This window comes from Homo sapiens, chromosome 4, assembly GCF_000001405.40.
Source record: "Homo sapiens chromosome 4, GRCh38.p14 Primary Assembly".
Lineage (NCBI taxonomy): Eukaryota > Metazoa > Chordata > Mammalia > Primates > Hominidae > Homo > Homo sapiens.
The window spans coordinates 89,101,036-89,125,619 of NC_000004.12; the positions used below are offsets into that span (position 1 = coordinate 89,101,036).

General features: G+C 44.6%; 1 protein-coding gene across 2 annotated transcripts, besides 5 other annotated features; it reads left to right on the forward strand.

The window, feature by feature from the left end:
• Positions 237-476: an enhancer, noted in NCBI's record as "active region_21719". NCBI's record gives its function as "activates an Ori minimal core promoter by ATAC-STARR-seq in GM12878 lymphoblastoid cells {active_cell/tissue: GM12878}" and the evidence as "EXISTENCE:reporter gene assay evidence [ECO:0000049][PMID:35858748]".
• Positions 587-736: an enhancer, noted in NCBI's record as "active region_21720". NCBI's record gives its function as "activates an Ori minimal core promoter by ATAC-STARR-seq in GM12878 lymphoblastoid cells {active_cell/tissue: GM12878}" and the evidence as "EXISTENCE:reporter gene assay evidence [ECO:0000049][PMID:35858748]".
• Positions 10,006-10,115: an enhancer, noted in NCBI's record as "active region_21721". NCBI's record gives its function as "activates an Ori minimal core promoter by ATAC-STARR-seq in GM12878 lymphoblastoid cells {active_cell/tissue: GM12878}" and the evidence as "EXISTENCE:reporter gene assay evidence [ECO:0000049][PMID:35858748]".
• On the forward strand, positions 10,134-13,866 carry TIGD2 (tigger transposable element derived 2). Of its 2 annotated transcripts, none has more exons than NM_001382380.1 (2): positions 10,134-10,336; positions 11,032-13,866. In NM_001382380.1, the coding sequence occupies exon 2, from the start codon at positions 11,940-11,942 to the stop codon at positions 13,515-13,517; it is 1,578 nt and encodes a 525-aa protein (NP_001369309.1). In that variant the 5' UTR covers positions 10,134-10,336; positions 11,032-11,939; the 3' UTR covers positions 13,518-13,866. The 2 variants fall into 2 exon arrangements, with proteins under 2 accessions (NP_001369309.1, NP_663761.1); NM_145715.3 differs by lacking the exon at positions 10,134-10,336 and adding an exon at positions 10,498-10,848.
• Positions 10,146-10,225: an enhancer, noted in NCBI's record as "active region_21722". NCBI's record gives its function as "activates an Ori minimal core promoter by ATAC-STARR-seq in GM12878 lymphoblastoid cells {active_cell/tissue: GM12878}" and the evidence as "EXISTENCE:reporter gene assay evidence [ECO:0000049][PMID:35858748]".
• Positions 10,306-10,755: a silencer, noted in NCBI's record as "silent region_15567". NCBI's record gives its function as "represses an Ori minimal core promoter by ATAC-STARR-seq in GM12878 lymphoblastoid cells {active_cell/tissue: GM12878}" and the evidence as "EXISTENCE:reporter gene assay evidence [ECO:0000049][PMID:35858748]".
• Positions 13,867-24,584: the final 10,718 nt, after the last annotated feature.

The following is a 24,584-nucleotide window of genomic DNA, read 5'->3' on the forward strand; positions in this document are numbered from 1 at the left end:
GAGGGAGAATGAGTGGTGTGACGCACAATGGGCTCTCAGTTAACCTGACCTTACCAACCTGGGACAGAATTGAGGGCTCCTCTAAAGAATGTTGGAAATTGGGCAGGCTTGGAAAGGTAAGCAGGGTATATAATTTTCATTCACATTTCCTACTCATATTTCTCATACCAATCAGCCAATTCACTGGTTTCTTCAATTTACATCTAAGTGATTTTCAGGAAACGAGTCTAACTTTTCTTTAAGCATCGCCACCAATAATTTTCACTTCTTTTTTAAACCCCACTAAATCTTTTCTACCCTCCTGGGAACTCATTCTCTTACCTTTGCCTATGCTCCCAGCCATCTGAAAACCTACCATCCACCAGCCAACCAAGAAACAAAGAAAACAAAACAAAGTTTAAAAGTTCCCCACTGGGCATCTACATGACTCAAGAGTCTCAGAACTCACTATCTTTCAGTATTGTAACTTACCAACTTCTTAAAAATGATCTGGGATTTTCCAGTGAGTAATCAGAACTTTCACTTGTGTCTAGACACTTTCAAGTGGAGAAGTGTCCCTACCTTTATGCAAAAGGATATCTTTTTCTATTTATATTTTTTATATATATTTTCTAATTAAGGTTCGTCTATAATATGAAGTAAAATAATGTTTGAGCTGAAAGAGATGTCAAAGGAAAAGCTTTCATTTTACTGATGAGAACCGTTTCACATCCTGTTTTCCCTAACATGGGGTTCCCCAACACCCAGGCTACAGACCAGTGTGGTCCGGTTGGTGGCCTGTCAGGAACTGGGCCGCACAGCAGGAGGTGAGTGGCAGATGGGCAAGTATTATGGCCTGAGCTCCACCTCCTTTCATATGAGCAGCAGCATTAGATTCTCACAGAAGCTCGAACCCTATTGTGAACTGCGCATGCGAGGGATCTAGTTGTATGCTCCTTACGAGAATCTAATGCCTGATGATCTAAGGTGGAACAGTTTCATCTTGAAAGCATCCGCCACCTCCTCCATTGTGGAAAGTTTGTCCTCCATGAAACCAGTCCTTGGTGCCAAAAAGGTTGGGGACCACTGCCCTAACAGACCCATATCCCCCTGCATACTTCAAAAGAGGAATAAATTATATTTTATCTGGAAAATTCCCCTCAATATTTTATGTCCCTTAAGGTAGGTGACAGTAAATGGTTTTTGTGCAAACCACTGATTTATTATTGGCACTAAATAATTAAGTTACTAAAGGCAAATACTATTCTATATTAAATAAGTTTATTACACATAGAATAATAGCATTGTGATAAAAAAAAATTCATGTTTTTTTTTTTTTTTTTTTTTTTGAGGCAGGGTGTCACTTTGTCACCCAGCCTGGAATATGGTGGCATGAACACGGCTCACTGCAGCCTAGACTTCCTGGGCTCAAGCAATCCTCCCACCTCAGCACCCCCCAGCAGCTCGACTACAAGCATGTACTACCACACCTGGCTAATTTTTGTATTTTTTGTAGAGGCGGGGCTTCACCTCTTGTTGCCCAGACCAGTCTGATATTCCTGAGCTCAAGTGATCTGCCCGCCTTGGCCTCCCAAAGTGCTGGGATTACAGGCATGAGCCACCACGTCTGGCCCATGTCCTCATCTTAAGCTTATTAGGTATCATAAAACAAAAATCTTCAAGTGAATGAGAATCAATTATAAAGTAAATGGAAACCAAAAACAAAAAAGAGTCCCTTAAAAACTAAGAATGTAAATCTACCTAGAGATATCCTATTCTATAACAAAGCTATCTTGCATAAGGAATACTACTAATAATTCAAAGTCCATGTAAGGTATTTGTATGTCTGTATTATCTCAGCAGAGCAGAAAATTTAGGGCTTGTAATGATAAGAAACAATCTAATTTCAGGTGATTTGGGATAGTTTTCAGAAAACTCTCATTCCAATGAAGCAAATGAACACTATTGCAGACTTGCAGTGCTTTCATGAGTAGAAAGCCATTTTTATTAGTTCATGTTAAATATTCTATTTTAATAAATAACTTTAATTTTGCAAGAATAAATAATTACAGTATACTTTTCTTCTTTTCATGTCTTTGACATAAATACTTCTATTGTGATAGCATGGGCAGAGCATGGAGCTTTAAACCCAAATGTAACTGGGCTCAAATCCCTGTTCTGCTACCCACATTTGAGCCTTTCTTTTCTTTTCTTTTTTTTTTTTTTTTTTTGAGATAGAGTCTCACTCTATTGCCCAGGCTAGAGAGCAGTGCAGGAGCTCGGCTCCCGGGTCCAAGCAATTCTCCTGCCTCAGCCTCCTGAGTAGCTGAGATTACAGGCACACGCCACCACTCCCAGCTGATTTTTTGTATTTTAGTAAAGACGGGATTTCACCGTGTTGCCCATGCTGGTCGCAAACTCCTAAGCTCAGGCAATCTGACTGCCTTGGCCTCCCAAAGTGCTGGGATTACAGGTGTGAGCCACTGCACCCAGCCTAGCCTTTACTTTCTTGTACATAAAACATAGGTAACATCTACCTCATAGTACTGTTACAAGGATTAAGAGAGTTGCACATATGTAGAAAAAAGAGACATATGGGTGACAGAACTTCCCCAATGACTGAAATGACTTTTCATTAGAGATAAACCACAGTGAATGGTAAGTGAAGTTAGAAAAGAGATAAAAGAATACAAAATTGCTCTGCATAATGAAGTGAAAAAAATCTTGAGCGTTCACAAGCAGGTGAGAAGGAAAAAAAGAGAAGAGAGGGGACCCTGAGATAGAAAAATGTTGGGGGAAGAAAGAAAAGAATGGCATAGCAAGATGGAAGGATGCTGTGACCCAAAGAGAAGAACTGACAATAGGAAGTTCCCTGTGGCCAACTGGGCTCTTAATAAAACAATAATGCTGTGGTATAATATGAAATATATTTGGTTTTTTCCCCAGATCCTGCCACAGAGCTCCTAAAACCCTTGGGATTTCCTGAATGTTAGGAGTGTCTTTTGACATTTATACCAACCCTCTTTTGATGGTACCTGAGTTTATGCTAATACAGTGACTTAGGGTGAGGCCCCTAGATAACCTCAGCATGAGGCTGGTCAGCAGAAAGACCAAATGATTAGAAGGCTGGAACTTTCAGCCCCACTCACTGGCATCTGGGAAGGGGACTGGGCTGGAGATGAAGCTCTATAAAAACACTTGAACAACAAATCTGATGAGCTTCCAGGTTGAGTACATCCAGTGCTGAGAAGGTGGCAAGCCCAGAGACGGCATGGAAGCTCCGTGCCTCCCACCCTGCCATATCTTGCCCCTATACATCTTTTCCATTTGGCTGGTCCTGAGTTTTATCCCTTATAATAAACAAGCAAATGCAAGAAAATGTTTCCTTGAGTTCAGTGAGGAGCTGCCCTAGCAAATTAATGGAACACAAGGAGGGGCACCATGGGAATCGCAACTTACAGCTAGTCCTTCACAAGTATAGGTGGCAACTGTAAGGGAAGTGGCTGCACTGGAGTCAAGGGTAGGCTGAGGTAAACATTTGGTGCTGCATGACACAGTGGGACTGGAGCACAGGCACACAATCCCGTGCAGTATATAATCACAGTTATGTAACCATGTTATGGGTGGGCTCATCACCTGGCGTTGAGCCACCATTTTCTGTAATATAACCGCACTGCTAACTCTGTAAGAGAGAGCTGGGCTACCTTGCAGGTGGCCAGGAGGGGAGCCAGGAAGTGGCAAGTGCACTGGGGAGCACAGCTACAGGCATGTGGGTGGCAGGAGCTGCAAAGCCAGCGCTGAGAAGGGCTATGGCACAGCTACAGGTATGGGGGTGGCTGAGACAAAGGCTGATAGAGAGAGAGAATAAAGCCATATCCCAACTGCCTACAGTGCCCCGAGTGTTTTTCCAACTACCCGCCACCCATCCATCAACTCCCCTCAGACCCCAGCTCAGGCTGGAACCTGACAATTGGTGTAGTCAGCAGGATTCCGAGGTGAGTGTGTCCTCAGCCCCCAGTGATCCTGGGTTGGCTATGTGGCTGTGCTGCTAGGATGGGCTCCAGTAGAAACATGGGCAGCAGTGGACGGGTCCCCTGTGAGCACAGAGAAGGTACTGAAACACCTGGAAGCACACAGCACCGAGAAGGAGCATGCCTTTGCCAGCAGAGTCAGATGGGCATTTTTGACTGCACTATGGTCAGTGCATGCCCACTCCCTGCAGGATGCAGCACAGGTAAGGGACCTTCAGATGCAAGCCAAGCGCCTGGAGGGCCAGATACACAGTTTGGAATAAGAAGTGGGAACTGCCATAAGTGACAGCTTGAGCCCACCCTCCCAGCTGGACATTCCCGCTTGGTCTGATACTGAGGGGGAAGAACCCCTACTGCGGGCTAACCCTATGGTCCACCAGAAAATAGAGCATGAATAGCCACTTGGGCCCAAAAAGCAGACCCAGGAATCCCCTACCATGGTGGAGCATGCTTCATATAGTGCCTATACCCCCAGTGATTTGTGGGAGTTAGGCAAACAGTGTTGGCACCATCTGGGGGAGCCCCTACCGACCTGGGAAGTGCTGGTAACTTCGTGGAGGCAATTGACCCCAAAGCAGCAATTCCGGAAATGCCCACCCAGATAGATGCTCTGGCTCAAGGACTACTTACAGACAGGCAGAGGTATAGAGCCTTTTGTGTTTGATTAGGGAGCTGGCTGAGATACCCGGCTTGGGGGGACACCAGATGACCAGAGGCCACATGTGGAATTAGCAATCCACTGGTCCCCCACCAATGTATAGCAGGTGCTGGTGCTGGTAGACATTGGCACAGATTGTAGTCTTGTCTATGGGAGCCCGGATAAGTTTCCGGGTAAAGCTGCATACATAAATGGCTATGGAGGCTAGTCAGTGAAAGTGAAACCTGTACCTTTGCACCTTGGTATTGGCCACTTGGCTCCCTGTTTATACTGTGTACGTCTCTCCCATACCTGAATATATTCTGGGGGTGGATATTTTACACTGCTTGGCAGCTGTGCCATCTATCACGGATTTGATGGACCACTTGACGATGGAATTGGGACAGTACCACTATGTGGTGGACTTGGCCAATGCATTCTTCTCAATTGACATTGCTCTAGAGAGCCAGGAACAGTTCACCTTCACATGGGAAGGATGACAATGGACTCTCACGGTGTTGCTCCAGGACTATGTGTGTAGCCCCACCGATATGTCATGGCCTCGTTGTCACAGATTTAATCACCTAGAAATGTCCAAAGAGAGTCCCCTATTCCATTATATAGATGATATTATGCTAACCTCTGATTCTCTTGCAGATTTAGAAGTGGCAGCACCTCTCTTGCAACAGTTGGCAGCATGCGGTTGGGCCGTCAATGAATCCCAGATCCCAGGGCCTGGATTGACTGCCAATTCTTAAGAGTTACCTATCTGGTTGGGTAAGACGAAAGCCATATCAGAGGCCGTCATAGACAAAATCCAGGCATATCCCTGGCCCACCACTGTAAGGCAGCTGCAGACTTTTATGGGCCTCCTGGGGTACTGGTGGGCATTTGTGCCCCATTTGGCTCAGATGATAAAACTGTTGTACCGGTTGACAAAAAAGGGGGCTACCCGGGATTGGGATAAGGAGGTTGAGACAGCCTTTCTGGCAGCCAAGCAGGCTATTCAGCAGCAAGTGTAGGCCCTAGAAGTGATTAACCAGGGGTGCCCATTTGAACTTGATGTGCATGTGACCACAGATGATTCTGGCTGGGGCCTATGTCAGCACATGGACTGCTTTAGAATGCCAGGAGGCTTTTGGTTCCAACTTTGGAAGGGAGCTGAGCTCCAGTATTCGTTGATAGAGAAGCAGTTAGCAGCTGCATATGCCGCCCTTCAGGCTTATGAGAGTGTGATGGGACGGACTACAGTCATCATGCAGATGACTTACCCAATAGTGGGGTGGATATGTTCATGGGTAATGACTCCCGGGACTGGGATGGCACAGACATCCACTTTAGCAAAGTGGGGTGTCTACTTAGAACAGCGGAGTCCTCTGAGTACAAGCCCCTTATTAGCAGAACTGCAAGAAGTCTTGGGACCTGTGTTCCTGATGCAATATAGGGCTATGGGTCAGCCTGAGGTACCCCTAAACCCTGAGCCATCACTGTTTAAAGAGGGGCACCCCACCCCATCCCCCATGGGGCATGATATATGGATGGACCCAACTGGGGTGCTACTGCTGCCTGGACCACTGTTGTGTGCGGTTCAGCTTAGTACTGACACCATATGGTTTGATACCGGGTGTAGACAAAGTAGTCAGTGGGCCAAACTCAGGACAATGTGAATGGTGATCACCAAAAAGGTGACACCTATGATAATCTGCACTGATAGCTGAGCAGTTTATTAAGGCTTAACCTTGTGGTTAACTACCTGGAAGTTACAGAATTGGCTAGCTGGTCACCGGACCATTTGGGGCGGGGCCATGTGGCAAGACCTATGGGAGAAAGGATGACCTCCTCCAACCAGTTATGGTGACAAGTGGTAATTTGTTGTTGCCTGCCTCAATGTCCCTAAAGGTAGGGGAACAAAAACCTGGTTTTGGCCATGGACCCTCCAAGCCACCCATTGCAGATGGATGGCCATCGTAGCCCCCTGGAGGGAGGGCTTGGGAATTTAATGTATGGCCTCTGATATGGTTTGGCTGTGTCCCCACCCAAATCTCAACTTGAATTGTATCTCTCAGAATTCCCATGTGTTGTGGGAGGAACCCAAGGAGAGGTAATTGTATCATGGGGGCCAGTCTTTCCTGTGCTATTCTCATAATAGTGAGTAAGTCTCATGAGATGGGCTTATCAGGGGTTTCTGCTTTTGCTTCTTCCCCATTTTCTCTTGCTGCCACCTATGTAAGAAGTGCCTTTCACCTCCTACCATGATTCTGAGGCTTCACCAGCCATGTGGAACCGTAAGTCCAATTAAACCTCTTTTTCTTCCCAGTCTCGGGTATGTCTTTATCAGCAGCATGAAAACAGACTAATACAGCCTCTGTGATTGACCATTTGTAGGGGAATGGCCAAGGAAGGAATCCTCCTCCAGGGCACATATGTACTGCTGCTGTGGCCTATAGGTCCAGGGTGCTGCCCTATGGACACATTTCTCCACTAAGAGGACTCCCTTGGCCTAGGGGATGGAGTGTAAGGGAAATAGCTGCACTGCAGACAAGAGTTGGCGGAGGCAAACATCTAGTGCTGCATGACACAGTGGGACTGGAGCGCAGGTGCACAATCCTGTGCATTACATAATCACAGTTATGTAACCACATTATGGGTGGGCTCATCAACTGGCTTTGAGCCACTATTGTCTGTGAGCAATATAACTGGACTGCTGACTCTGTAAGAGAGAGCTGGGCCACCTTGCAGGTGGCTGGGAGGGGAGTCAGGAAGCGGCAAGCACAATGGGGAACTCAGCTACAGGCGTGGGGGTGGCAGGAGCGGTGGAGCCAGCGCTGAGAGGCCGCAGTTGGAGCAGGTGGCCAAAACAAAGGCTGACACAGAGAGAGAGAGAGAGAGAGAGAGAGAGAGAGAGAGAGAGAGAGAGAGAGAGAATAAAGCTGTATCTCAACTGCTTATGGTCCCCCAAGTGTCCTTTCAACTACCCACCACCCGTCCACCAACTCCCCTCAGACCCCAGCTGGGCTTGGAACCTGACAACAACCTACTACTTGGAATTGGAATTTGAAGTTGGGGGGACACTCCAGGCAGATGGTATCAGAATTGAAATGAATTATAGGATACCCAGCTGTGTCCAGTGGAGAACTGCTTGGTGTGTGCTGTGTTGAGCATATAGTACATGAGAAAGAGTAAGGCAACTTTGCCTTAGGCACCCAACATTCTCATTTTTTTTTGAACCTACATTTTTAAGAAATAGGCTTTATTTTTTAGAATGGTTTTAGGTTCTAAAATTCCACAGAAGATAGGGAGATTTCCCACATACTCCCTGCCCCCACACATCCATAACCTCCCTATTATCAATATTGCCCACCAGAGTGGAACATCAGTTACAATTGATGAACCTGCCTTGAAACATTTTTATCACAGAGTCCATAGTTTCCATTAGGGTTCACTCTTGGTGTTGTACATTCCGTGCATCTGAACAAATGTTTAATGACATGTGCCCACCATTACAGTTGTACAGAGTAGTTTCACCACCTTAAGAATCTATTATTGGCCAGGCAGGATGGCACATGCCTGTAATCCCAGCACTTTGGAAGGCTAAGGTGGGAGGATGACTTGAGCCCAGGGGTTTGAGATCAGCTCTGGCAACATAGCAAGACCTCATCTCTACAAAAAATACAAAAATTACCTGGGCATGATGGCACGCACCTGTAGCCTACAGTCTCAGCTACTCGGGAGGCTGAGGCAGAAGGACTGCTTGAGCCTAGGTGGTTGAGGCTGCAGTGAGCCCAAGCCATGGTCGTACCACTGCACTCTAGCCTGGGCAACAGAGAGAAGCCCTGTCTCAAAAATACACATACATACACATACATATATTCTTATTATATATATATGTGTGTATATATACATATTCTTAACATTCTAAGTCCTCTCCCCCTTGTGCTGTAATATGTCTGCCACAACTAGCCACCCCTTCCCCCAACAAAAGGAGAAAGTTTGCCCAATAAAACTGTTTTGTGTAAAGACACAATTGCCTTGAGTAAAATCTTAGTAAAAGTCTACTAAATACAATTGCCTTGAGTCAAGCGGTGTTTTGAGAAAATCTAGAAATGTGGGCTGTATCCAGATTTGAACTTACACAAGGTGATAAAAAGGGAACAGCTATAAGACATAAAACAGCAAACTGGAGAATCCAGGAGGAACAGAGAAAAATGCAAATGGTATCTGGAAGAAAATTAAATCCTAGAGATACTGTGGAAAAGAGAGGAAGAGTAAGAGGCAGGATTCCTTTGTATTTAAATATCCTGGGACACAGCTACTCCAGCAGACTCGGGGGAGAGGCGGAAAGGCAGGCGGCTGACATCTGGTTACAGGCTGCCTCATTTCCACATGGGTGGCAGTCGGTAAAGTGCTGTTCTAGCAGTCTTTCACGCTCTTCACAGGTATCAGGGAAAATAAGAATATTTTGTAAAGTTATATAAAACTACCATGAAGTAAGTTATAATGTACCCAAAACAGGCAACCAGGACTTCCAGAAAGGGACTGGCTTGTTGGAAGCCAAATGGAAGGCAGGGAAGAGGGGAGGTCTAAAAGCAGGTATTCTCCAAAAGCCACTTACAACCTCACAACATAACTAGATCAAAGAATTTCTGTCATGCCAGATAGTGGAAGGCTGCTATGTTGAGAAAGGCAATTGAGCAGTTTTGGCGGCGGAGTCAAACAGAAGGCTTAGAATCAACATCTGTTTTCTACAGTATGCTCGCTTTGATTTCCATCTCCAAGTTTCTGAAATTCCAGAAACAGTATATGGCCTTGTCAAAGAAATGACGAATTACTATGTTACTTTGTGTTAACGAAAAGGTTACATTTATGTTCATATGGAAGAGATAATTCACTGAAGAATTTCCAATTTTTCAAACTGACACGCACACACAAGACGGAAAGGAAGGCAGCCTGACCGCGTTTCCCAGGAAACAGGTGGTGCAAGGTGGAGGTGCACCACTCTCTCCTCCAGGAAGGCGGTGACCCTTCCGCAGATGTCTCCGTTGGAAACAAATAAAGGGAGTATCAGTCAAAGCGCAATTCCCCGATTCCACTTGAGAAGCCCCGGGCGTCGAGGCACGGCAGGAAATTTACCACGACGCCTCCCACTGGCTCAAGGGTCTCCCAGGTGCTGTCGATTTTGCAAAGGGTCCGTCTCTACAGCGACTGTGACGAGTTTCGGAGCATCAGCACCGGGGAGCGCTGACCCGACACTCGGCTCTACCGCAGCCCGCCGCGCCTCGGCACCCTGGGCTTGTCCGGCTGGGTGTTGCCGAGCGAACGCCCCAGCTCCTGCCCGGAACCCACGTCCGCCGGCTCCTACCGTGCCTCATGATCCTCGCTCGGGCTAGCACTTTCCACGCGCGCTGACTCTGGGCTCCGACACCTGGACCGCCTCCGCAAGGCGGCGCGGCTGCTGTTTGTAAACACGCCCCACGTGCGCTCGCCCTGCCCCATTCGCAGCCCGCTCCCGGCACGCGAGGATCCTCCGCTTTCCCCCCAGCACTGGGGGGGTGAGATTTTAAAATTTCCCCCTAGGGAGAAAAGAGCCTCGTCGGCAGAGCCGGGCCACTGGGAAAAGCGCCAGGACAAGGCGAGCGTGTGCCTCCCCCTGCCGGCCAGGGAGGCACTGCGGCCCCGAAACGGCCAGGCGGTGAGTGGAACCCACGCAGCGCCTAGAGACGCACCCCTGCCGGGCCCCCGCCCCTCCCGCCCGCTCGCCGGAGTCCCCTCCCCCGGGCCGCGTGCGCTCACCCGCGCAGGCCCCGCCCCCTCGCCGGCACAACGTTCTGCGGGGGCGCGCGCGTGCTCTCTAATCCCCCGCCTTCCGGCTCCGGCGGCGACGCTCGTCCCTCTCCGCTCGTCCCTCGCCGCTGCCGGGCCACCAGTGCCAGCCTGCCTCAGGAGACTCCATTTGCGCTTAGTGTGGTCTGGGCGCCGCGCAGGCGGTCCCAGGGCGATGCCCGGGGCCGGCGGACTGGCGTTCCCTGTGCCAAGCGGCCGCCCGCTGGCTGGCTGGCTGCAGCAGTGACATCCTGGTCGCCGGCGTCCAGGCGGAATCCGGGCTCCCTCCGCGGGAGGAAAGACGTCCCGCGCTCTGAAGCTCGCCCAGCGGGGAGAGGCCCTCGCTAACACGGCTTCTCCCTGACCTCTTAATTTCAGGAGGTAGGCTCTTCAGGTCCCTCTCTCTGTCACCCCAGATTATGCCTGAAAGCATTATTTGTCGTATTTAGCTATCACATTGATAGGAGGCGTTAATTTTCTCAACATAGTTGCAGGATAAATGTGGATAATGCCACAGATCCTGATGTTGAATTGAAAGAAAATGTTTTTGGTATTTTCCTTTAGGTTTCGGAGCCTCCGAGTATCTCTACAGCCCCCACAGGAACTGCTTCTGTTGGTCCATCGAGGATCGTCTTTCACCAGGATTATTGTAACATCATCTTCACCGAGCCTGCCACCCCATAGCCTCTACCTTGGGTCCTCATTTCCACCGATGCAGTTTTTTTGATGCTTTCTTTAGTAATGTGACATCACATGTCCACTATCCTCCTTTCCAGCTGCCAAATCTAGTAGGTTTAAGTCGCTTTTAAAGTAGAGTTTTCTGCCTGTTCCACTTTCACCTTATTTGCACTGTTCACTTCTGTCCGGGTCATCTTCTCTTGCGTATGATTTCCACAAGCACTCACTTGCGCAACCTATAGCAGAGTCCGTGCCTAGAGAGACAGCATTCCATACAATCCACTGCTTGACAAAGACCACATAGTCAGAGGGTGAGTTTTCCCATTGTATTTTCCTGTATGTCAAGTTTGCAAGTCCTCTCTTGACTTAAACTGTTTACTCCCTAGCACATTTCCTAAAATACTTCCACCTGAGATTTAGTGGCTATTCTGGCAAAGAACATTACCTGCAAGGATGGCAAGAATTGAGTATGCAATAGTACTGTTTTAGAAGCCTTACCAGTACAGTTTCTAGCCTCTAGTGTGATTGCACTTCATGAAAGACCCTGAACCCTGAGGAGGAAGAAAGATAGAAGATAAGAGTTAATTGGCGCTAGGCTTTGTTGTAGGAAGTTTGTAAGTTTTAAAATAGCAAGTAGATTCACGTAGACCTTGTCAGGAAATTGGTCACTATCCATCTAGGCCCTAGAAGTGAGAGGAGGAATCTTACGAACTCATTTTCTAGTTGCTTTGTATTCAAATCTTAGTTGTTAATTATCTTGTTCTAGTAATCACCTAAAATATTAGACACTTAAAATGTTGGGGAAACGTAAGCGTGTGGTGTTGACAATTAAGGACAAGCTTGACATTATTAAGAAACTTGAGGAAGGCATCTCTTTCAAAAAACTTTCCGTGGTGTACGGAATTGGTGAATCCACAGTTCGTGATATTAAAAAGAACAAAGAAAGGATTATAAACTATGCAAACAGTTCAGATCCTACCAGTGGAGTATCCAAACGTAAATCTATGAAGTCATCAACATACGAGGAGCTTGATAGAGTTATGATAGAGTGGTTTAACCAACAGAAAACAGATGGGATTCCAGTGTCCGGAACGATTTGTGCAAAACAAGCCAAGTTCTTTTTTGATGCTTTGGGAATGGAAGGTGATTTTAATGCATCGTCAGGCTGGCTAACTCGATTTAAGCAGCGCCATGGTATTCCAAAGGCTGCTGGTAAAGGAACAAAATTAAAAGGAGATGAAACTGCTGCCAGAGAATTTTGTGGTAGCTTTCAGGAATTTGTTGAAAAAGAGAATCTACAACCAGAGCAAATTTATGGTGCTGATCAAACTGGATTGTTTTGGAAATGTCTACCATCAAGGACATTAACTCTTGAAACTGACCAAAGTACTTCTGGGTGTAGGTCAAGCAGAGAGAGAATCATCATTATGTGTTGCGCAAATGCCACAGGTTTACACAAACTTAATCTTTGTGTTGTGGGGAAGGCCAAAAAGCCCCGAGCATTCAAAGGCACTGACCTTTCAAACCTTCCTGTGACATATTACAGTCAAAAAGGTGCATGGATAGAACAGTCTGTTTTCAGACAGTGGTTTGAAAAGTACTTTGTGCCACAGGTACAGAAGCATTTGAAATCCAAGGGACTTTTAGAAAAAGCAGTGCTTCTTTTAGATTTCCCCCCAGCACGTCCAAATGAAGAAATGTTGAGTTCAGATGATGGCAGAATAATTGTGAAGTATTTGCCACCAAATGTCACAAGTCTGATTCAACCAATGAGCCAGGGAGTTCTAGCCACTGTAAAAAGATACTATCGAGCAGGACTTCTCCAGAAATACATGGATGAAGGAAATGACCCAAAAATATTTTGGAAGAACTTGACAGTGTTGGATGCAATTTATGAAGTGTCAAGAGCTTGGAACATGGTAAAATCAAGTACCATAACCAAAGCATGGAAAAAACTTTTCCCTGGCAATGAAGAGAATTCAGGTATGAACATTGATGAAGGAGCCATTTTAGCAGCTAATTTAGCAACAGTTTTACAGAACACAGAAGAATGTGAACATGTTGACATTGAGAATATTGATCAGTGGTTCGACTCTCGGAGCAGTGACTCAAGCTGTCAGGTGCTGACTGACAGTGAAAGTGCTGAGGACCAGACCAAGGCTGCTGAGCAAAAGCCTTCCAGTAAGAGTAGAAAAACAGAACTGAATCCAGAGAAGCATATTAGCCATAAAGCGGCACTTGAATGGACTGAAAATTTACTGGATTATCTTGAACAACAAGATGACATGCTTCTGTCTGATAAATTGGTATTAAGGAGGCTTCGGACCATAATAAGAAAAAAACAGAAGATCCAAAATAACAAAAATCATTAATAAGGCTCTTAAGTATTTCAGTGTATCTGCATCTTTGTGACTATCTGCAGTGAAACTTTGCTTGTTTGAAGTCCTGTGGATTCCAAAGCCAAATACATTTTATAAATGATTTTGGAATTAGATGTCAGTTTGGATTACTTAAATTACAACTCTTTAATGTTGACTCTAGTCATTGGGCATTGACGTGTAACTTGTCTTTCTACTGTTTCTAATATCTATTAATTAGATCATAAGGTACCTGAGGCCAGGGATCTTGTGTCTGTTGTGCCTGAATTTGGCGTGTCTAATAAAGGCCCATGCACACTATAGGCACTCAATAAAACTTACATTTTTATGATTTTTCTTTGAAGTTGAACTTCCAAATTGAAATATGTTGGGGGTAAGTTTCCATTTCCGCAGCTTTTCCACTGCTGAAAAGAAGAGTTCAGCAAAAATTGCGCTTGAAGTATTTCACTGCGACTGCAGAGAACTGAAGGAAAATAGTCTAAAGCCTTAAATATTGCATTTCTGTACTAGCAGTATTTGGGCAATTAGCAATTCAGATCAACCATCTCTTGAGAATAGTAAAGGAAGAGAAGTATGATTTAAATGTCCCAGAAAAAGGATTTGCACTTCATTTTTTTTTTTCCATCTGATAAGAGGGAGTGTTCCTAAATAGTTGTGGAAAGAATCCCATTCCTGTTCCAGGAAAATAGATTTCAGTTCCCAAACCATTGCAGTTAGAAGAGGTAAGCGTTACATTTTATCATCTGTCTTTTGGGTTCTTTATAGATGCCAGTAGTATTTCTCTTTAATAAGCTATTTGACGTTTATGTAACATTTGAAAGCTTACAAAGTATGTATGTCATTTGCTTTCATACAGCATTTTTTGTGAAAACCAATACTGAGAATATAAGCATACATCTAATTTGTGGAACCAGCAGATGAACAGTAGACTAACATAAAGTAGAACACGAAGAGAGGCAGTAGAGGAGTGCAGCTGCTGTGTGACCATCGGCAAATTACTTAACCCCCGCATCTGTTAAATACAAGTAATACCTGCCTCAGAGTTTTGTGAGGTGTAAACGAGTTGACATATGGATTTTAAATAATAGGGGCTTATAATAGGGCCTGGCACAGAATAACATTGAATGTTAGCTGTTACTCCCATTGTGGATATTGAGTTTCAGTAGTATGCTAAACAGATCCAATGTGTTACTCAAAGTAGGGTTGCTGCATTTGGAAAACCCTTCCAAGGAAGTGAGATAAAAGAGATACAAGTGGCCAGGCGCGGTGGCTCACGCCTGTAATCCCAGCACTTTGGGAGGCCAAGGCAGGTGGATCACTTGAGGTCAGGAGTTCAAGACCAGTCTGGCCAACATGGTGAAACCCCGTCTCTACTAAAAACAGAAAAAATTAGCGGGGCATGGTGGCATGCGCCTGTAATGCCAGCTACTCAGGAGGCTGAGGCAGAAGAATCACTTGAACCCAGGAGGCAGAGGTTGCAGTGAGCTGTGATCACGCCACTGCACTCCAGCCTGAAACTCCGCCTCAGAAAGAAAAGAAAGAAAAAAAGATACAAGTAATTAGTTTCAGCAGAAATGCAATAATGATTTCTTTCATTGAAAACTGAAGGGTTACTCTAATTGAAAAATCACTTACCACCCCCTGGTAGGCTTTGTGATGTATGCAGGCATTTAAGATATCTTAGGTGGAGTTATAACAGGAAATGAGAATGGAATTGTAATTTCTTTGGTCCAGTTCTGTTAGCACTTTGCTAATAAAAAGATGTTGGCTTTATTCATAGAAGAAAATCTTAATATTGGCATAATAATAAAATACCTTTACAGTGGATAATATAGCAATAAGCAAGACACCTGGAATATTTTATCTAACTAAAGTAATACGGGATAAGTAGAAAAAGCAAAAGAAATGTCATGGGAGACAGTGGTTATAGTAATTAGGCCCAGCTATATATAGGGAGCTTGTCATTTGGTTTGAGGGGAATTTAGAGCCCACATCTGATTATTTTCTTTCGTGAGGATTATCATCAGTGTCTTCAGCTGAGCCTCTGGATTCTAGAATAGCTTTTTCAGAAGACCTCTCAGAATATACTTTCTTTGGATAATTCATACATCATTATTAAAACACTTTCCTCAGTTTACACTGTTTCACCTACCTGATAGCCTTGAGGAAATACAACCCTGCAAGATAAGTCCTGAGGCTATTTGGCTTCCTGGAGACCAAGGATTCTAAAACTTGATAAGGGTAATGACTTACATTTGAACACTGCTTTGCATTTTCACATTGCTTTTTGCTAACACAAACTTAAACTTTGTTCAGTCATGACACTGAACTGGTTTAGTCTCATGTTGTATCATTAATCGTAATATAAATTATGCATTCTCATTCCGCATTTCATTGCAATACAAAAATCTTAACCTCCTTGAGATATTGTAATAGTTCCTCTAGAAAGACACATCATGGTAATCTTGGTTAACACTTGCCCCTTATGTGTACCCTAGTTTGAAAAGCAGACATATGTACTCTCATTTGACTTTGTACACCTTAAAGGAAATACCTACAAATTCTGATTATTGGTTAATAATTCTGACTATTGGTTAATTTTAAAAATGTATATGTTTTTTAGAGGAACCTGAGAGACTAACAGAACTCAGACTAAATGGACAAAGTATTTGGCAACTAAGCATGCTTTTTTCACAAAACTGCAGTGTGAATATTTACTATTTCATAATTCAGTCTCAGTAATACAGGGGTTGGTTGGAGAACTGGGCGCTAAATAAATATAGAGTTGGCAGGCCAGGATCAGAAGCCGTAGTCAATTTAAGCAGAATGATAGGGAGGACCCTGCACTCCAAAATTAGATTTATTCAGGAGGGCTGTGTTCACGTATCACCTTAATATTTTCACAAATTGACTTTTTTTTTTTTAATATACACACTATATATGTTAAGCAATGATATCTACAGAATTGCAGGTCTCATGTGCCAACTGGGGTCTTTGTCTAATTCAAGTTAAACATAAGAATTCTTATTTTTAAACTTGCCAAACTAAAACTTAAAATCAATTTTGTATACCTCATCTGCACACTTTAGAAACACTAGCCAAGCAGAAGGAGTAGGGTTGTTGAAGGTTAACAGATTGGAATGCAAACTCCAGCTTCTCCACTCTTTATATAGTTAACCTTAGCAGCATTCTGGACCTCTCTGAACCTCAGTTTACCCATATGTGAAAGAGTTGAAAGGTAAGCAGTCACATTCCAGGCATTCATAAACACCAGCTATTAAGCAATCCTACAGCTATACATTGAGAACCCCTGGTCTTCAGGCTTACCCTGGAGAATTCATCACAGCTCTTCTCTCACAGAGACTGTGCAGACCCCCAGGAAACCCAGGCACCTCTATTGAGGTCCAGGGCACTGACCCATCTCTGGGAATGCTGGCTGGGGTGTATGCATAGGTGGGCAGGCAGCATTGAGTTCCCCGGACCCTGAGGACTGTAGCTGTCAGTCACTACAGGGGTCCATCTGTAAAAAAGTTGAGTTACAGATAAACTTGTAACTTCTAGTTTCTTCTAAGACCAACAAAAATGATACCTGATTCCTGCATTTCAGAATATCTTGATCTTCTGGAACTTACTTACAAAGAAAGTCACCTTTGAGTGTAAAAAAAGATAAACTCAAGGCAGTTTTACTCATCTGTTGAAGACTTGACCTGAACTCAAGTGATCCTCCCACCTCAGACTCCCACATAACTGGGACTACAGGAGTATGCCACCATGCCCGGCTAATTTTTTTTTTCTTTCTTTCTTTTTTTTTTTTTTGTGAACCAGAGTCTCACTCTGTTGCCCAGGCTGGAGTGCAGTGGCGCGTTCTCAGCTCACTGCAACCTCTGCCTCCTGGGTTCAAGCGGTTCTCCTGCCTCAGCCTCCTGAGTAGCTGGGACTACAGGTGCCCGCCACCGTGCCTGGCTAATTTTTTGTATATTAGTAGAGATGGGGTCTCACTGTGTTGCCCAGTCTGATCTCAACTCGGCTCAAACGCCCTGGCCTCTCAAAGTGCTGGGATTACAGGCATGAGCCACTGCACCCACCCCATAATACTATTCATTCCTTGAACACATACATACTTTTTACTAATTTAGGAGAAAAAATAGGGTAATCCTTACCAAATTACTCAAAATCTTATCTTTAAAGACATGCTGCTTTATTCCTTTTAAATATATAAAGTAGGCCAGGCACGGTGGCTCATGCCTATAATCCCAGCACTTCGGGAGGCCGAGGCGGGTGGATCACGAGGTCAGGAAATCAAGACCATCCTGGCTAACACGTGAAACCCTGTCTCTACTAAAAATACAAAAAATTAGCCAGGCGTGGTGGCGGGTGCCTGTAGTCCCAGCTACTCGGGAGGCTGAGGCAGGAGAATCGCTTGAACCCGGGAGGCAGAGGTTGCAGTGAGCCGAGACCGTGCCACTGCACTGCAGCCTGGGTGACAGAGCAAGACTCCGTCTCAAAAAAAAATTATATATGTAGTATATATGTAAATATATATGTAGTATATATGTATATATATATAGTATATATGTAAATATATATAAATTGAAGAGCTAACAAAATGTAGTCAAATAGTGGTTTTACTGGCCATACTTCTAATGATTTGTATGTAAATTAATTCTGGTAAGTTTTTAGATTGTTCAAGAACAGTTGTTTTTCCTGTTTATTTATATTATCCACAATGGGTTTTTGTTTATCTGTATTTTATTCAGAGTTCCTTGGTTTGAACCTGGTGTCCTGTTCCAGGCATCCAGCCAGGATACTACATTATGTTTAGTCATTGTGTGTTCTTAGGCTCCTCTTGGCTGTACTAGTTTCTTAGAATTTCCTCGTTTTTGATTGTCTGGACATGATGATCTTGACAGTTTTGAGGAAAAGTGGTCAGGTATTTTGTAGAATGTCCCTCATATGATAAAAAGTTTTTTAGTTCTTTGTGCATTTCTTGCCCCCACTAACACAAAATAGACTGTGAAAGTGCCATTATTAAAGATACATTAAAGTATGAGAGAAAGATAAATTCTTATAAGAATCTGGGAAGGCTTTTCATCACAAGTAATGTTGTCCATGAAGTAATTAGTTGTGTTTGTGATAGAATAGGGGGTGTCACGTGAAAATCAAGAGTGCAGGTCATGTTCTAGTAACAGACTAATAGAATTGCAATGTGATGCGAGTAAGGTGCAATTAGAAGTAACAGTGTTAAAGTTTGGCAGGGGCCTGAGAGCTTTTTTCCCTCCTGACACCAAATAAATGGTATCTTTTCCAACAACACTTCTCTAACTCTCTGACATCAACTATGTGTCCTACAATTCTGACACTAACTACCCAGAATTAGGATCAGATTCCACAGATTCAAGGGCTCAGTCCTACAAGATTGCCCTCATTTCTGATGCCAGTTGCAAGTATTAGGCCCCCAGATTAGTCAGGCATTCTCCCAATACTTCCTCAGACTTGATAATTTACTAGAATGACTCATAGAACCCAGGAAAATGCTACACTTACTAGTAGTTTATTCTAAAGGATACAAATGAACAAGCGATACATAGGGGGAGGTCTAGAAGGGTCCTGAGTGCAGGCTTTATCCCTTTGGAGTTGGGATGTACCATCCTTCTAGCACGTGGATGTGTTCACCGACTTAGAAGCTCCCTAAACCCCAGAGGCATTATCGATGGCCAAGCTTTTCTTTTGTCCCATATCGATGCCAGGGGTGGTGTGGCTGGCTGCCCTGGGTCCATCACGTTCCTCAGTGGGACCCCTATGGCCAAGGGATTTAGAGTCAGAAGACTTACAGCCAATTCAATGTTTTAGGCCAAATGGGAATGGAGGTGGGCAGGCGCTCAGAAAACTCCTTTAATTAAGCAACATAAGAGACCAAAACCAAAAGCCAAAAAACCAGGTTACAAAATTGACTTGTTTATATCGATAGTGCCTCTGGCATATGTTGACCATAAAAGGAATATGAACTAAAAAAATAAAATCCTAAGCCTCCCGACAGACTGAATGGACCCGCTCTTGGCCAAACGGGATCCCCAAAACCCTGAAAATCTATCAGGGTATGGCAGGAAGTGGGCATTGGACACACCTCATTGTGCCCACCCCCCGCCCTTTGGAATTTAGGCACAAGTGACCACCACTAACATTAAAATAGAGATTATAAGACCGACAAAACCGACTCTTGTAACAACAAAATACCAAATTATAAACAGGACCTAAGACCATGCAGGCAGGGGTTAAGTGATACATGCCTACACTTAAAGAGTAAGCTGGCCGGGTGCGGTGGCTCACGCCTGTAATCCCAGCACTTTGGGAGGCCGAGGCCGGTGGATCACGAGGTCAGGAGATCGAGATCATCTTGGCTAACACAGTGAAACCCCGTCTCTACAAAAAAAAAAAAATACAAAAAGCCGGGTGTGGTGGCGGGCGCCTGTAGTCCCAGCTACTCTGGAGGCTGAGGCAGGAGAATGGCATGAACCCAGGAAGCGGAGCTTGCAGTGACCCGAGATCGCGCCACTGCACTCCAGCCTGGGTGACAGAGCAAGGCTCCGTCTCAAAAAAAAAAAAAAAAAAAAAATAGTAAGCTGTGTTCTAGCTGCTACAAGGGTTTTCTTTTTCCCTAACAGTTAGACAAGCACTGGCCTCAAACTCACTGGCCCCCAGCCCCTGTTCCATCAGCCATAACTACAGATTTAATTAACACGAGACTGACTTTAATAATTTTCACCTGATAGAAGACCACGGACTATGGGCTAGTTCTAGCTGGTTTACAGAAATTGCACACTTGCGTGCCTTTCTGCCCTGAAAAGACCTTTTAATGTATAGGACCTAATTGTAATACGTTTAAATATTAAGTCTCCACCACAAAATAACATGGGTCATATGTTACATGCATATTTGTTGAATGCACATGGGTCAGGACCACCTTCATGAATATTCCTAGCCCCTCCTGCAACCTGTTAAATATGTAAGTTCAGCCAACATGTTGTCATATTCCCACAGGACCTCCAAGCACGATTGATAGGGGAGAATGTGCACTATAATTAAGACTGAGTGGTATGTGTACATCCTAGATAATTCTGGAAACAAATCCTCAGCCCTATGAGACATGCATAAGCAAATTAATGCTATGTCTTATCCCACAATGTCCTAAGTCAGTGGCTCTCCTCATGGTTTGGATCAGGCCCCTCTTGGTGAAAAAAAGTTGCTCATAATTTTAGCCATGATTATAGGGCTAGGTTTATTCTGCTGCTGTAGACTCTATTGCAGTTACACACTCACCATGATGCTCTAGCAGATCTCTTCCTTAAGCCCATGGACTCACAAATATTTTCCACTCCAAGTGGTGAGGTTCCATTCCACTGCACCTTAACTGCACCCCGTTTCAGCAGGAAGTACCTAGATGGAGCACATCACCCCCTTTCCATAGAAATGAAATGGAACTTGACAGTGGGGAGTTGTAACCAAGAGTGTCAGCTTTAAAATGTATTTTAAAGCCTTCCCACTAGCCTTAAAGTGTATTTAAAAGGTTTTTTTCCTTTTTTTTTCTCTCCTTCCCCCTGGACACTGCCTTATACCATGACCTTATGACCAACTTATACATGCTTATCTAACTGTATGCTTGCTTAGAAATTCCAGGGGCTGGCCGGGCGCGGTGACTCACGCCTATAATCCTAGCACTTTGGGAGGCCGAGGTGGGCAGATCACTGGAGATCAAGACCATCCTGGCTAACACCGTGAAACCCTGTCTCTACTAAAAATACAAAAAAAAAAAAAAATTAGCTGGGCGTGGTGGCGGGCGCCTGTAGTCCCAGCTGCTCTGGAGGCTGAGGCAGGAGAATGGCATGAACCCGGGAGGTAGATCTTGCAGTGAGCCGAGCTGAGATCGCACCACTGCACTCCAGCCTGGGGGACAGGGCAAAAAAAAAAAAAAAAAGAAAAGAAATTCCAGGGGCTAATCTTGAAACAGCCCAGGCCTGGAGACCCAGCTGCAGATTACCTCAAGGTGGTTAATCTACAACCTGGTCACAGTCGACATGGGACCAGCTAGTACTCCAGGTGGACAGTAACTCAAGATAGCCATCGGAACAAGACATGCAGACCTGTACTCTATACGATTCCTGCGTGTTTCCCACACCAGGTTTCCCTTTTATAAACCCCTTCAGTCAGCCTTAAAATTTGAGTTATCATTTTGAGACTCGAGTCCGGACATGTCCTCAACTGCTAGCATTTTATTAAAACTGCTTTCCTTTCACCACACTTGGCATCTCATGTATCTGGCTTTTCAAACTGTGAATAGCCAGACCTAAGTTCTGTTATAGGACAATACTTTCACAAGGAAAATGTGTTCCCTACTTTTAGGCAAACGAGAGGAGAGCAGAGGACACTTCCTGCATCTGTTGATTCTCAGTTGCCTTCAGCTCAAATAATCCTTATGCCGAAGTGGCATGTTTTTGGGTGGCATGACCTGAACCCCTTCAGTCCTTAGTAGTTTCTTAGCTTCTCAGAATCACAAATCTTTTTTTTTTTTTCCTTTCCTTTCCGAAATAGCCTGGCTCTTGCAAGTGAAAACCTTGCTTTCCAGATTATTGTTTCTACTGCACTCTTTTTTTTTTTTTTTTTTTTTTTGCCTTTGGTCTACTTTGAAAGTCAAAGCTAAGCAAAGACTTCTTTGTTCTCACCATTATTTGTGTTTTCCCTGAAGCAGTCAAGCTATAGGACAAGAATTACTGGGAATGAGAAGTGTGTTGGCTATTATTTTTAAGATTCTGTATTTTCACCTCAGAAAAAAAAATTATCCCACATTCTATAAATTTGGATCTCCCAGAGATAGAAAGACCACCCAGAGCGTAGAGCCTTCCGTCATCTCAGGGAGAATCCCTCTCCATTATGCATTTTCACTCCCGCTTTCAGCAAGACAAATTCCTCTTTGTTTCACGCACTTCAATTTAGCAAGCAAGCAACTTTTAGCGCTTGTGCAAGTAACCTTTGTATCTCACCCTCTACCCCGGGCAGCTTAGAAAAGACTTTTTTCCTTAACAGACAGTCATCTTAAAAGAATTCTAGAGTCAGCTATTAGAAAAACAAACAAACTTGTTCTCCACTTCCTTATACTCTACCTGTCTGCTCTCCTGTTTCAGTGAATAGAGGAGGCCTCAGAGCTTCATGGTGCTGGATACACCAGTACAGAGTTGTTGAAAGGAAGGAGTCTTCTTTACCTTTCTTAAGGTCTAAGTAACATTGTGAGTGAAAATATCATCAGGCAAAGAATTATCTGTGCATTATGTTAACTTAGTAAAATGTCCTTGCAGGCACAGAAAAACACAAAAGGTCTGGACAGCTTTTTAAAATAAGTAGATTTGTAAATCATTTAAAAGAGGTTGGAAAGTGAAGTCTGATGGGGCAATGGAACACACACTGGGGCTTGAGGCCTAGGTGTACGTGGTCCCTTCTCTTGCCTCTTAGGACCGGCTCTCAGCTGCCAGCTCTGCGACCTTTGTCACTACAGATCCCACCCACCTTTTTTTTTTTTTGAAACGGAGTCTCACTCTGTCACCCAGGCTGGAGTGCAGTGGCGTGATCTTGGCTCACTGCAACCTCCGCCTCCCGGGTTCAGGCGATTCTCCTGCCTAGGCCTCCTGAGTAGCTGGGACTACAGGTGTGCGCAACCACACCTGGCTAATTTTTTGTATTTTTAGTGGAGACCGGGTTTCACCATGTTAGCCAGGATGGTCTCGATCTCCTGACCTCGTGATCTGCCCCCCTCGGCTCCCAAAGTGCCACCCAGCTTCTTTCTCCCCACTCCTGCCTGGTGACCACTGCCAGCTTCCTCCCCTGGCAGGGGCCTGGGCACAAATTCACAGAGGTTGAGGTTGGGCATGTTGCCCAAGGGCATATTGGGTAAGGCATGGCAGGAGGTATTTTGCCCCAGGCTGATAGTGCTGTGGTGCATTAGGTGGGGATTGGCTGGGGTGAGCTGCTCACTCACCCCAATCCAGGTACTGAGCAGCTCTGACAGGTTGTAATCTCTGGGTAGTTACCCATTGCTCTGGGTTGGGAAGGCAGACACATGGGAAGAGGAGATTGGCTTTCCCACCCCCAGCCAGGACAGGGTGCATTATTGTGGCAGTGGACTGCAGGGTGGGCACAGGCACCTGTGAGGGTCTGCACTTGTCCAGCAAATGTACCTGTGCCCAAAGGTGTGTGACATTCAATAGCAAATTTAAAAAACCAGCATGATAGGTCCAAAGAGAGACTGCAGAAGAAAGGGAAATGCTTATATATTACTACCTTTAACAACACCTTTATTTTAAGGGGCCCCATATTTTCATTTTGCACTGGGCCCTGCAAATTAGGTAGCCAACTCTGCTTTCCACTATTTCACATCCCACATTCAGGGAATACAAGTCTCAATATAGAGGACTGTAGAGAGTAAAGGAGAATCAATATGGGTATACAGCCTTCTTACAGCACTGGGAGCAATATATTTGCAGGGTACCATCATTTTCATAAATTGCATTGCAGAGTACTTCAGATTTTTAAAAATAAATTCCCATCCAGCAATTACAGACATAAGAGATCCCACTTTAGTCCAGCATAGCCATACTACACACTGGCTTAGGACATTCATGGCCATCTCTAAATGAGGTCTAGGTAAGAAAGAAAATCTTGGAACACCCAAGTGGATAGTGAGAGGGATAACATTCTATGTACCCTTCAACCAACAAATAAATAATGTACCCTAATAGCTCTGTGTTGGGAGGGAGAAAGGATACAGCCTACGAAAATTATTATGAAAGTTCAGAGTTAAGAGCATGCAGTGGCTTTTCTTTGCAAAACAGAAACAACCTATAGAAAATATGCACTTTTCTTCATTAAGATGCAAAAATACATGGGCTCTATGAAGCAATGCTGAAGATACACATTCAGCAGACTGAGATGGTGAGTTAACCAAAATGAGCAACTTTCCAGGAAAGCAAAAATAGAGTATCAGAATTAAAGTCTTCATTGGAGATGGTAAGGAGC